This window comes from Homo sapiens, chromosome 3, assembly GCF_000001405.40.
Source record: "Homo sapiens chromosome 3, GRCh38.p14 Primary Assembly".
In the NCBI taxonomy this organism is placed as follows: Eukaryota; Metazoa; Chordata; class Mammalia; order Primates; family Hominidae; genus Homo; species Homo sapiens.
Genome location: NC_000003.12, coordinates 121,309,178 through 121,322,251, shown reverse-complemented (window position 1 = coordinate 121,322,251; position 13,074 = coordinate 121,309,178). Strand labels below are relative to the sequence as shown.

General features: G+C 39.8%; 1 protein-coding gene across 11 annotated transcripts in view; it reads right to left on the bottom strand.

Moving 5' to 3' along the window:
* Positions 1-13,074, bottom strand: part of STXBP5L (syntaxin binding protein 5L) — a 516,557-nt gene that overhangs the window by 102,510 nt on the left and 400,973 nt on the right. For all 11 annotated transcript variants that reach the window (NR_145516.2, XR_924217.3, XR_001740373.2 and 8 more), the window contains one exon: positions 3,712-3,777. Coding sequence is in view for 8 of the 11 variants with exons in the window: in NM_014980.3 (NP_055795.1) it covers positions 3,712-3,777 (66 nt within the window). In the remaining 3 variants the exon portion in view is untranslated. The remainder of the gene's footprint in view (positions 1-3,711; positions 3,778-13,074) is intronic.

Below are 13,074 nucleotides of genomic sequence, written 5' to 3'. Positions count from 1 at the left end.
CCATCTCGGCCTCCCAAAGTGCTGAGATTACAGGCGTGAGCCACGGCGCCCAGCCAAAAATCATGTCCTTTAAAGCAACATGGATGCAGCTGGATGGAAGTCATTACCCTAAGCAAATTAATGCAGGAACTGAAAACCAGATACTGCATGTTCTTATTTGTAAGTGAGAGCTAAACATTGGGTATTCATGGACATAAGGATGGCAACCATAGACACTGGGGGCTACTAGAGGGGAAAGGAAGGAAGGGGGACAAGAGTAGGGTTGGTAAACTAACTGTAGGGTACTATGCTCACTGCCGGGGTGATGGGAAGATTTGTATCTCAAACCTTGGCTTCATGCAATATACCCATGTAACAAACCTCCACTTGTAACCCCTGAATCTAAAATAAAAGTTGAAATTATATTAAAAGGAGAATATCAGAGTTATAAAATGATTACTGGTTTCTGGTTTGCCTAATTCCTGACCTCCTTTATTCAGAGACATTTGCATCAATCTTTTCATCTGTAGCAGATTTAAAGGGGTGAGAGCTGAGATTCCCAAACAGATACCTACAGGGGAGGTAACTACTGAAAAAATATTTTTAAAATGTTTCATAGGGCAGTGATTCTCAAGTGATCTGGAGACCAGAAGCCTTAGCATCAGCCAAGAGCTTGCTAGAAATACAAAATCTCAGGCCCCACCTCAGATCTACTGAATCAGAATGCAGCAATTCCTACAACAGCAAGAGATTACAGAATGTAGTTTTAGGTGTATGTGTGGCTATTGTATATGTATTGTATTGAATTTTGGAAATAATAATGGGCACACTGTCCTTTAAATGACCCTCTAATATAGCACAATTAATTATCATTCTCTTTCATGGAAAATGAATGAAATCAGTAAATATTGTGATTATTTCCAATATTCTTAAGTAGTAAACTCCATTCGCACTTTTCCCAGAAGGATGCATTTCACATAGTTTAACAAATATAACATTTAATGATTACAAAACTGTTATAAGGAAAAAAAAATCTCTCATTCCTCAATTATTATTACTTATAATTTAAAGTTGCTACTAAAGAAGAGTGGGACCTGTCTAGTAGACCAGTATCAAGTAAGGTATTGAAGTGACAAATGGATCTTATCACAATCCATCATTTCTGCCTCAAGTAACATAATACAAAAATAGTCAAAATTTTCCTGCTTTGAAACAATCTACTTAATTGCATGCACAGTTTTCTGAGTCTGCTTTGAAATTAAAAATAAAGTGTGGGCCGGGCACGGTGGCTCACGCCTGTAATCCCAGCACTTTGGGAGGCCGAGGCGGGCAGATCACCAGGTCAGGAGATCGAGACTATCCTGGCTAACACAGTGAAACCCCGTCTCTACTAAAAATACAAAAAATCAGCTGGGTGTGTGACACGCTCCTGTAGTCCCAGCTACTTGGGAGGCTGAGGCAGGAGAATCCTTGAACCTCGGAGGCAGAGGTTGCAGTGAGCTGAGATTGCGCCACTGCACTCCAGCCTGGGTGACAGAGCAAGACTCCGTCTAAAAAAAAAAAAAAAAAAAGTGTGGTCGTTGTGCGTTGTGGTGGTGTTCCTAAATCTGCTGTAACATTAACAAAAGAAGAAACATCATAGGCAAAGGGCTAAAAACAGCATATCTACCAAAAACTGACAGCAATTATAATAATTAATTATGAGTTATTGAAAGCCTTATCAATGAGACTGGGAACAAGAAAAAAAGTCTACTTATACCACATCTATTCAACATTGTATTGAAGGCCCTAGCCAATTTTTTCCTTTAGAAGGAGAAAATGGAGGTTTCATTTTCACAAGGGGCATACTTAGATACGTAGATAATCCAAAAGAATTTTACCAACTATAAGAATTAAGAAATAGATTTAGCAAGTTTCCTGGATGCAAGCTCAATATACAAAAATTAGCTGTATTTTCATATTCTAACCACAAATAATTAGAAAAAGACATAAAAATAACACAATAATAGGAAAAAAACAAACACAAAGGAATAAATTTAATGAAAGATATGCAAGACCTCTACAAAAAAACCCAAAAATATTACCGAAAGAAAGTAGACACACATAAACAGAGAGATACTAAACGAAAAATTCAATATTGTTGAATATGTTAATTCTGCCCAGTTGATCTATAGATCCAGTGAAATCATAATAAAAATCTAAGCATGTTTGTGTGTGAACTGACAAATTCTTTATAAAAGTTATATGAAAATACAAAAAGGTAGAACAGCTATAATGATCTTTAAAAAACTTTTAAAATTATTATTATTATCATCTTTAATGAGACAGGGTCTCACTATGTTGCCCAGGCTGGTCTTCAAACTCATGGCCTCAAGTGATCCTCCCCCCTTGGCCTCCCAAAGTGCTGGGATTACAGGCATGAGCCACTGTGCCTGGCCAGCTATAACAAAATTTGAAGTTACGTATGTAAATTTGATAAAGGGTATTGAATTATATTTTATATCGAAGATTTATAAGCATGGGAAAATATGATCAAAGTAATATTTTAAGAATATTAATTTTACAACATGACATGCAACATTAATTGTAAAAGGTGAAGAGAGAAAATACAGACATCTACTAGAATATTTGTATGATACCATAGGTATGAGGCAATAAATACCTAAATTGGGTTGGTGTCAATGAGAATGCAAAAGGCAGGGTAAACATATGAGACAGTCTTTACAATAAGATCAGTAAAATAAGAATTAAAAATATATGACTAAGAGAAAAATTTACATAGGATATAACTAGATTATACATAGCCTAGATTCCTGAAGAATAAGAATAAAGAACTAACCACTTTTCAGGGATGGAATAAATGGAAGAAATGCTGCAATTCTAAATTAATTTCTACAAGTCCAAATTCGTTGCTTTATAATGGCATTATTAAACTTTTATAAATTTGTATAAGGTTCAAATTAAAATAATGTAAATAAAAAGGAACTACAGTTTCTTGTCTGTAAGAACAGATCTATCATTCAGTAAAGACATACCTAATGATTTTGGTGTTTAAAAACTCACACAAAACTATATATACATTATAGAAAAATCAGAATTATCAAATATGTAAAAATTTTAAAAAACAGGCCAACCAGTCATATTCCCACCACCCAAAAATAACTGTTAACTTTTTTTTTAACAGACAGTACCTTAAAGATTTATCCCTAGGAATCTTTATTCTCACATTTTAAATATATTTTAATGGGTGCACACTTTGTCTTGATGTTTTGCTTCATATCATATTCTATCATCATTTTTCCTTGTGAATAAATATACATGTTTCCAAACTGTGGTCTAGAGGAATGGTATCATTTGCTTCTGCATATATACTGTATATTTCCCACTAATTCAGCTCTAGCCTGAAGATGACAAGTTTCTCTATATCACCAATTTTTATTCAATACTTAGTAAGCATTATTAATGTATCTGCAAAATAACTTTCCTTTAAAATGTCTTTTAAAGTGTTGCACTTTTACCTCTGATCTTAATTTTATTTTGAGATAAAAATATTTTAAAAGACATTTGTTTGTATTTGATATTTGGAATCAAATTTGCTTACAGTAAATTTAATGAATGGAATTATACCTAATTACTAAAATTATAAATTTCACATTATAAAGATCATGAAAATAAAGCAACAGATTACTGCAGTGAATTACCAGAAGTCTGCAAAATACCACTCATGTTTACCTGAGGTAGGAGACTTGCAGCGCTCAAGTTCTAGGGGAACTGGACTGTCATTCAGTTCAGTTAAACCTGAAAATACAATGAAAAAAAATGAGATAAATTTTGCTAGCATTTTGTAGGTTATTCTTATTTCTTAATTCCTACAAGTTTAAAAGGCTTTTTTTTATGTGAAAACTACTTTATCATGTCCAAGTTACGTCAATTATTCTGAATTTTAAAAATATTTTTATTAATTTTTTTTTTATTTTTATAGAGACAGGGTCTCACTATGTTGCCCAGGTTGGTCTTGAACTCCTGGGCTGAAGCAATACTCCCACCTCAGCTTCCCAAAGTGTTGGGATTACAGGTGTGAGCCACCATGCCTGGCCTATTCTGAAAATTTGTTTAAACAAGTGATACAGGAAAAAATAAGGAGAAGTAACTGATTGACATGCAAGAGTATTTAAACATGGATGGTACAAAGATATAAAATCCTTTTTTAACTATTTTTATAAGAAATAGCTACTTTAATAAATGACCCAATTTTATCTGAAAATAGATCATAAATAAGAAGAATTAGAAGGGGTTTTAACAATACCTAATCAAATATCCTCTCAGGAGATATGATTATTGGCTTTTAAAAGATCTTTAAAAACTACAAATTCTAAATTTTATATTTATTTATAAAAATGTAGTATTGTATATTACATACTGTGTTTTGTTCAATAGTATCAAATTCCTTATAATAAGCACTATATTTTTCTCTTTCCAATATTTCTTAATTTTTATTCTGCCACTTTTCTGACAAATGCAACAATAGACACAACAGATTAATAAACATTTTATAATTCTTTCTACTTGCCAATCTGTATTTATATGGTATTTGTAAAATATTCTTCATTATGGTTTTTCTATCTTTGTTAGAAAGTCTCACAGACTTTCTTTTGTGAAATAAATATTCATAATTTCTATTTTAATCTGTCTCCATGCTCAGAAACATTTGAGAGCTATTTTCAATGACCAAAATAATCTTTGTTCCTATTCTTTCCCATCACCCTCTTCTTTATACAATTTATAGCAATAAGCTTGTGGTAGGTCCAAAAAAAATCACAGAATTTTGGAACCAAAAGGTGCCTTGTGACAACCTAGCCCAACTCTTGTGTTTTATAAGTGAGAAACTATAACTTCAAAGAGTTTAAGCTATTTATTCAAAGTCAGAGAAGTAAGTCAATAACATAGCTTGAAAAGGACACAGAACTCAGATTTTTTATTCTGCACTCATATTTCAATTGCTTATAGAGCACTGAATACCAAATGCAAAGCTTACTGTTTGCTCTATTTTTTACTTCATTGAACATTATTTTCAAGACTTTCAATGTAATGCTCATCCAATTTTAAATTTCTGTTTGTAATCATAGTACACATAATATTTACTGATATAAATATTACCATTAATCTGGAAATAGGCATTCATCAAACTAAACTATGTCGAACACGGTCTTAACCCTAGATATACAAATTAGGAAAAAGTTTGACTAAATAAGCAGTAAGTGTTAATCCACAGAGTTGCTATAAGAGTTTTCTAGGCACTCCTTGAAAGTGTACTGACTTGAACAGGCTTTGCTATCTGACAGCAAATTAGAAACTGCAAGTTATAAAGAGGAGGAGGCTGCTAGAACTAGAAACATTAAGAAAAGTAACGTGGAACAACAGTGAAAAAATGGGCAGAGAAAGGAACTGTAATGACTAGTGAGTGAGAGATCTGGGACCATTTAACAGGTGGGTGTTTTACAGATCTCTGAAAGGTTTTAAAGACATCACTGTAAGTTGAGTCAGTGAATCAAATTTATTGAATGCCTACTGTGCCACACGCTCTTTGTAGTAATAGTAATAACAGCAACTAGTATCTATTATTTTGTACCTAATCCTCCGCTAAATACTTTATATAAATTATCGTTTTCCCACCTACCAATATAATTAGAGGGGTTATAATATTAACCCCATCATACAGATAAGAAAACAGGGGAAGAAAGGCTATTACATCAATTCTCCAAAGTTAAACAGCTAGGAGGAAGGATGGGATTTGGTCACTATAAGATAGTAAGTAAGAAAGCATGATGTATATGTTAGAAAGAGTTTCATCAAAATTTTAAAATACAAAATTTGGTGGTTAAAGAGCTAAGCTCATTTGTCTGGAAAATACCATCTTTTCTATTTCTGTACTGTCTATTGATTCTGTCATTTTCCCTAGCTCCTTCTGAATTTACCTACTTTCCTGATGAAGGTAGGAACTGAACTGAATATGGATCTAACAATAATAGTAAAACTACTTCCTTGTGCCAATTTACAACGTGTCAAAACCCTAAACAATTTTATAATTATCATCATTAAATACTATATAGTTATTCAGAACAATCATTATTTAAAAATAAACATTTTTTGGACTATAGAAGTAAAGTTTTGTCCCTCTAGAAAACTTGGAAGATACAGAAAAGTGATGGAGAGGATTAAAAAATACACAATTTCATCATAATTTTGGCTTTTTTCTTCCTTTTTTTTTTTTTGAGACAGAGTCTCACTATCGCCCAGGCTGGAATGAATTGGTGCAATCTCGGCTCACTGCAACCTCCGCCTCCTGGGTCTCAATCAGTTCTCCTGCCTCAGCCTCTCAAGTAGCTGGGATTACAGGTGTGTGCCACCAAGCCCAGCTAATTTTTATATTTTTAGTAGAGACAGGGTTTCATCATATTGGCCAGGCTGGTCTCGAACTCCTGACCTCAAGTGATCTGCCTGCCTCAGCCTCCCAAAGTGCTGGGATTATAAGCATGAGCCATCACGCCTGGCCCCTTCCATGATGATTTTTAATCCAATAAAGAGTTTCATATTCTGATTTTTTTTTACTTTGATGAGCTTCTTTTTTTAATTATTATTATTATACTTTAAGTTTTAGGGTACATGTGTACAATGTGAAGGTTAGTTACATATGTATACATGTGCCATGCTGGTATGCTGCACCCATTAACTTGTCATTTAGCATTAGGTATATCTCCTAATGCTATCCCTCCCCCCTCCCCACCCCACAACAGTCCCCAGAGTGTGATGTTCCCCTTCCTGTGTCCATGTGTTCTCATTTTTCAATTCCCACCTATGAGTGAGAATATGTAGTGTTTGGTTTTTTGTCCTTGCGATAGTTTGCTGAGAATGATGGTTTCCAGCTTCATCCATGTCCCTACAAAGGACATGAACTCATCCATTTTTATGGCTGCATAGTATTCCATGGTGTATATGTGCCACATTTTCTTAATCCAGTCTATCATTGATGGACATTTGGGTTGGTTCCAAGTCTTTGCTATTGTGAATAGTGCTGCAGTAAACATACGTGTGCATGTGTCTTTATAGCAGCATGATTTATAATCCTTTGGGTATATACCCAGTAATGGGATGGCTGGGTCAAAAGGTATTTCTAGTTCTAGATCCCTGAGGAATCACCACACTGACTTCCACAATGGTTGAACTAGTTTACAGTCCCACCAACAGTGTAAAAGTGTTCCTATTTCTCCACATCCTCTCCAGCACCTGTTGTTTCCTGACTTTTTAATGATTGCCATTCTAACGGGTGTGAGATGGTATCTCATTGTGGTTTTGATTTGCATTTCTCTGATGGCCAGTAATGATGAGCATTTTTTCATGTGTCTTTTGGCTGTGTAAATGTCTTCTTTTGAGAAGTGTCTGTTCATATCCTTTGCCCATTTTTTGATGGGGTTGTTTGTTTTTTTCTTGTAAACTTGTTTGAGTTCATTGTAGATTCTGGATATTAGCCCTTTGTCAGATGAGTAGGTTGCAAAAATTTTCTCCCATTTTGTAGGTTGCCTGTTCACTCTGATGGTAGTTTCTTTTGCTGTGCAGAAGCTCTTTAGTTTACGCTTACGCTCTCCCTCTCCCTCTCCCTCTCCCTCTCCCTCTCCCTCTCCCTCTCCCTCCACGGTCTCCCTCTGATGCCGAGCCAAAGCTGGACGGTACTGCTGCCATCTCGGCTCACTGCAACCTCCCTGCCTGATTCTCCTGCCTCAGCCTGCCGAGTGCCTGCGATTGCAGGCGCGCGCCGCCACGCCTGACTGGTTTTCGTTTTTTTTTTGGTGGAGACGGGGTTTCACTGTGTTGGCCGGGCTGGTCTCCAGCTCCTAACCGCGAGTGATCCGCCAGCCTCGGCCTCCCGAGGTGCCGGGATTGCAGATGGAGTCTCGTTCACTCAGTGCTCAATGGTGTCCAGGCTGGAGTGCAGCGGCGTGATCTCGGCTCGCTACAACCACCTCCCAGCCGCCTGCCTTGGCCTCCCAAAGAGCCGAGATTGCAGCCTCTGCCCGGCCGCCACCCCGTCTGGGAAGTGAGGAGCGTCTCTGCTTGGCCACCCATCGTCTGGGATATGAGGAGCCCCTCTGCCTGGCTGCCCAGTCTGGAAAGTGAGGAGCGTCTCTGCCCGGCCGCCATCCCATCTAGGAAGCGAGGAGCGCCTCTTCCCCGCCGCCATCCCATCTAGGAAGTGAGGAGCGTCTCTGCCTGGCCGCCCATCGTCTGAGATGTGGGGAGCACCTCTGCCCCACCGCCCTGTCTGGGATGTGAGGAGCGCTTCTGCTGGGCCGCAACCCTGTCTGGGAGGTGAGGAGCGTCTCTGCCCGGCCGCTCCGTCTGAGAAGTGAGGAAACCCTCTGCCTGGCAACCGCCCCGTCTGAGAAGTGAGGAGCCCCTCCGTCCGGCAACCACCCCATCTGGGAAGTGAGGAGCGTCTCCGCCCGGCAGCCACCCCGTCCGGGAGGGAGGTGGGGGGGGTCAGCCCCCCGCCCGGCCAGCCGCCCCGTCCGGGAGGTGAGGGGCTCCTCTGCCCGGCTGCCCCTACTGGGAAGTGAGGAGCCCCTCTGCCCGGCCAGCCGCCCCGTCCGGGAGGGAGGCGGGGGGGGGGGTCGGCCAGCCGCCCCGTCCGGGAGGGAGGTGGGGGGGTCAGCCCCCCGCCCGGCCGGCCGCCCCGTCCGGGAGTGAGGGGCTCCTCTGCCCGGCCGCCCCTACTGGGAAGTGAGGAGCCCCTCTGCCCGGCCAGTCGCCCCGTCCAGGAGGGAGGTGGGGGGGTCAGCCCCCCGCCCGGCCAGCCGCCCAGTCCGGGAGGGAGGTGGGGGGTCAGCCCCCCGCCCGGCCAGCCGCCCAGTCCGGGAGGGAGGTGGGGGGTCAGCCCCCCGCCCGGCCAGCCGCCCCGTCCAGGAGGTGAGGGGCGCCTCTGCCCAGCCGCCCCTACTGGGAAGTGAGGAGCCCCTCTGCCCGGCCAGCCGCCCCGTCCGGGAGGGAGGTGGGGGGGGTCAGCCCCCCTTCCGGCCGGCCGCCCCGTCCGGGAGGTGAGGGGCGCCTCTGCCCGGCCGCCCCTACTGGGAAGTGAGGACCCCTCTGCCTGGCCAGCCGCCCCGTCTGGGAGGGTGGTGGGGGGGTCAGCCCCCCGCCCGGCCAGCCGCCCCATCCGGGAGGTGAGGGGCGCTTCTGCCCGGCCGCCCCTACTGGGAAGTGAGGAGCCCCTCTGCCCGGCCATGACCCCGTCTGGGAGGTGTGCCCAGCGGCTCATTGGTGATGGGCCATGATGACAATGGCGGTTTTGTGGAATAGAAAGGCGGGAAGGGTGGGGAAAGAATTGAGAAATCGGATGTTTACCGGGTCTGTGTGGATGGAAGTAGACATGGGAGACTTTTCATTTTGTTCTGTACTAGGAAAAATTCTTCTGCCTTGGGATCCTGTTGATCTGTGACCTTATCCCCAACCCTGTGCTCTCTGAAACATGTGCTGTGTCCACTCAGCGTTAAATGGATTAAGGGCGGTGCAAGATGTGCTTTGTTAAACAGATGCTTGAAGGCAGCATGCTCGTTAAGAGTCATCACCACTCCCTAATCTTTAAGTACCCAGGGACACAAACACTGCGGAAGGCCGCAGGGTCCTCTGCCTAGGAAAACCAGAGACCTTTGTTCACTTGTTTATCTGCTGACCTTCCCTCCACTATTGTCCTATGACCCTGCCAAATCCCCCTCTGCGAGAAACACCCAAGAATGATCAATAAAAAAAAAAAAAAAAAAAAAAAAAAAAAAAAGATTGACATACCTTAAGTCAAAAACAAAACAAATAAAACTACATTTTTCTGCCATAAAAAAAAAAAAAAAAAAAAAAAGAAGCTCTTTAGTTTACTTAGATCCCATTTGTCAATTCTGGCTTTTGTTGCCATTGCTTTTGGTGTTTTAGACATGAAGTCCTTGCCCATGCCTATGTCCTGAATGGTAATGCCTAGGTTTTCTTTTAGGGTTTTTATGCTTTTAGGTCTAATGTTTAAGTCTTTAATCCATCTTGAATTAATTTTTATATAAGGTGTAAGGCAGGGATTCAGTTTCAGCTTTCTACATATGGCTAGCCAGTTTTCCCAGCATCATTTATTAAATAGGGAATCCTTTCCCCATTGCTTGTTTTTCTCAGGTTTGTCAAAGATCAGACAGTCGTAGATATGCAGCGTTATTTCTGAGGGCTCTGTTCTGTTCCATTGATCTATATCTCTGTTTTGGTACCAGTACCATGCTGTTTTGGTTACTCTAGCCTTGTAGTATAGTTTGAAGTCCGGTAGCTTGATGCCTCCAGCTTTGTTCTTTTGGCTTAGGATTGACTTGGTGATGCGGGCTCTTTTTTGGTTCCATATGAACTTTAAAGTAGTTTTTTCCAATTCTGTGAAGAAAGTCATTGGTAGCTTGATGGGGATGGCATTGAATCTATAAATTACCTTGGGCAATATGGCCATTTTCACGATATTGCTTCTTCCTACCCATGAACATGGAATGTTCTTCCATTTGTTTGTATCTTCTTTTATTTCATTGAGCAGTGGTTTGTAGTTCTCCTTGAAGAGGTCCTTCACGTCCCTTGTAAGTTGGATTCCTAAGTATTTTATTCTCTTTGAAGCAATTGTGAATGGGAGTTCACTCATGATTTGGCTCTCTGTTTGTCTGTTATTGTTGTATAAGAATGCTTGTGATTTTTGTATATAACATTTATTTCATAAACAATTCCACCATTTTAAAAATTTATCAAATCATTATAAAGATATACCACACTTTTAATTTAACATTCCTCCATTGTGAAACATTTGGATTTTCCAATCTTTACTATACTAAATAAAGCCACAATAAATACCTATATGTCAAAATCTTTGATTTGTTTGTGTTTTTCCTTTAAATACTTCCATAGTCTTTCCACTATGGTAATGACAGGGGCTGTCTATTTTGCATTCTCCGTAGCAACTTACGGGAGTTCCAATTGCTCAATATCTCCACCAACACTAGGTAATAGTCTCTTAAAATCTTAGTCCTTCTGGTCATAGTAGTATCTTATTATGATTTTAAATTTCTCTGATGACTATGGATAGTTGGAACATTTTCACATGCTTATTGGCTAATCATATATCTTCATGATTCTATCCAAATTTCTGGCTTATTTTTTATGTTGGACTGCTTATATTTGTGTTATGTAGTAGTAAGAATTCTTCATATGTTTTAGGTAAGAATTATTAGTCAAAAATAGGCATTGTGAATATTTTCTTTCAGTATGTGATTTATCTTTTAATTTGCTTAATGGTGTCTTTTTTTTTTTGAGACAGAGTCTTGCTCTGTTGCCCAGGCTGGAGTGCAGTGGTGCGATCTTGGCTCACTGCAACCTTCACCTCCCAGCTTCAAGTGATTCTCCTGCTTCAGCCTCCCAAGTAGCTGGGATTACAGGTGTGGGCCACCATGCCTGGCTAATTTTGGTATTTTTAGTAGAGACATGGTTTCACCATGTTGGCCAGGCTGGTCTCAAACTCCTGACCTCCAGTGGTCTACCTGCCTTGGCCTCCCAAGGTGCTAGGATTACAGGCATAAGCCACCATGCCTGGCCTCTTTTGTTTTTGAGGCGGAGTCTCCCTCTGTCACCCAGGCTGGAGTGCAGTGGCACGATTTCGGCTCACTACAAGCTCTGCCTCCTGGGTTCATGCCCCTCTCCTGCCTCAGCCTTCGGAATAGAGTAGCTGGGACTACAGGTGTCCGCCACCATGCCTGGCTAATTTCTTGTACTTTTAGTAGAGACGGGGTTTCACCGTGTTAGCCAGGATAGTCTCAATCTCCTGACCTCGTGATCCACCCGCCTCGGCCTCCCAAAGTGATGGGAGTACAGGCGTGAGCCACTGTGCCCAGCCCATGCCTGGCCTCTTAATAGTGCCTTTTGATGAGCAGAAATTTAATTTACTTGAAGAAAAATTTATTATTTTTATTGTAATTTCTTTTTAATTCCTAAGTAGTCAGTGCCAAACCTATGATCATGAAGATATTATTCTTTGTTTTCTTCTAGAACTTTAAAAATGATTGGTTGTGACGTGAAGTAGGAATTAAAGTTCATTTTTCTCCTATTTGTTTGCCCAGTTGTTCCACCATTATTTGTTAAAAAGACTTTCTTCATTGATTTTTATTGGTGCCTTTGTCAAAAACAAATTGGCCATACATGTGTGGATCTATTACTGGACTTTTTATTCTGTAATGATCCATTTATTTATCTTTTTTTCAATTACCACACTATCATAATTAATGTGGCTTTAAGGCACATCTTGAAATCAGGTAGTGAAGTTCTCCAATTTTGTTCTTCTTTTCCAAGAGTATTTTAGTTATTCCAGATCCTTTGCATTTCTGCATAAATTTTAGAATCACTTTCTCAAGTTCTACAAATAATATGTTAGATTTTTTTATAGGACTGTGATAAACATATGGCTTAATTTGGTAGAATAAAGATCTTTTAAAAGGTGAGTCTTCCAACCTGTAAACCTGGTATTCCCCTCCATTTAAATAATTTTTTAAATGTTTCTTTCTGCAATATTTTGGAGATTTTGGTATCGAGGTCTTCTACATAGCATTTTTCCAGTCATCTAATTCTTTTTTGATCTTCTGTCTAGTTCTTGTATCTATTTTTAAAAGTGGAACTTTGAAATTTCCAACAATTATTATTGACTTTCTCTTTTTGATCATGTTAGGCATTGCTTCATGTATTTTGTAACTCTGTTATTTGGGACATATATGTTTTAATTATTGTCTCATCTTGATTGACACTTTTATCATTATAAAAGGTCACTTTTTATTCTAGTGACATTCTGTTTGCTTTAAAATCTATTTTTTTAAATGGTATTAGTACAGTAACTCCAGTTTTCTTATGGCTGTTGTTCATATGATCTTTTCCCATTCATTTTCAACCTATTTACACCTTTAAATCTAAAATCTCTCTCATAAACAGCATATAGGCAGATCTTGATTTTTTAAAAAAAAGTCTCACAATCTATGTCTTTTGATTGGATTGTTTAAT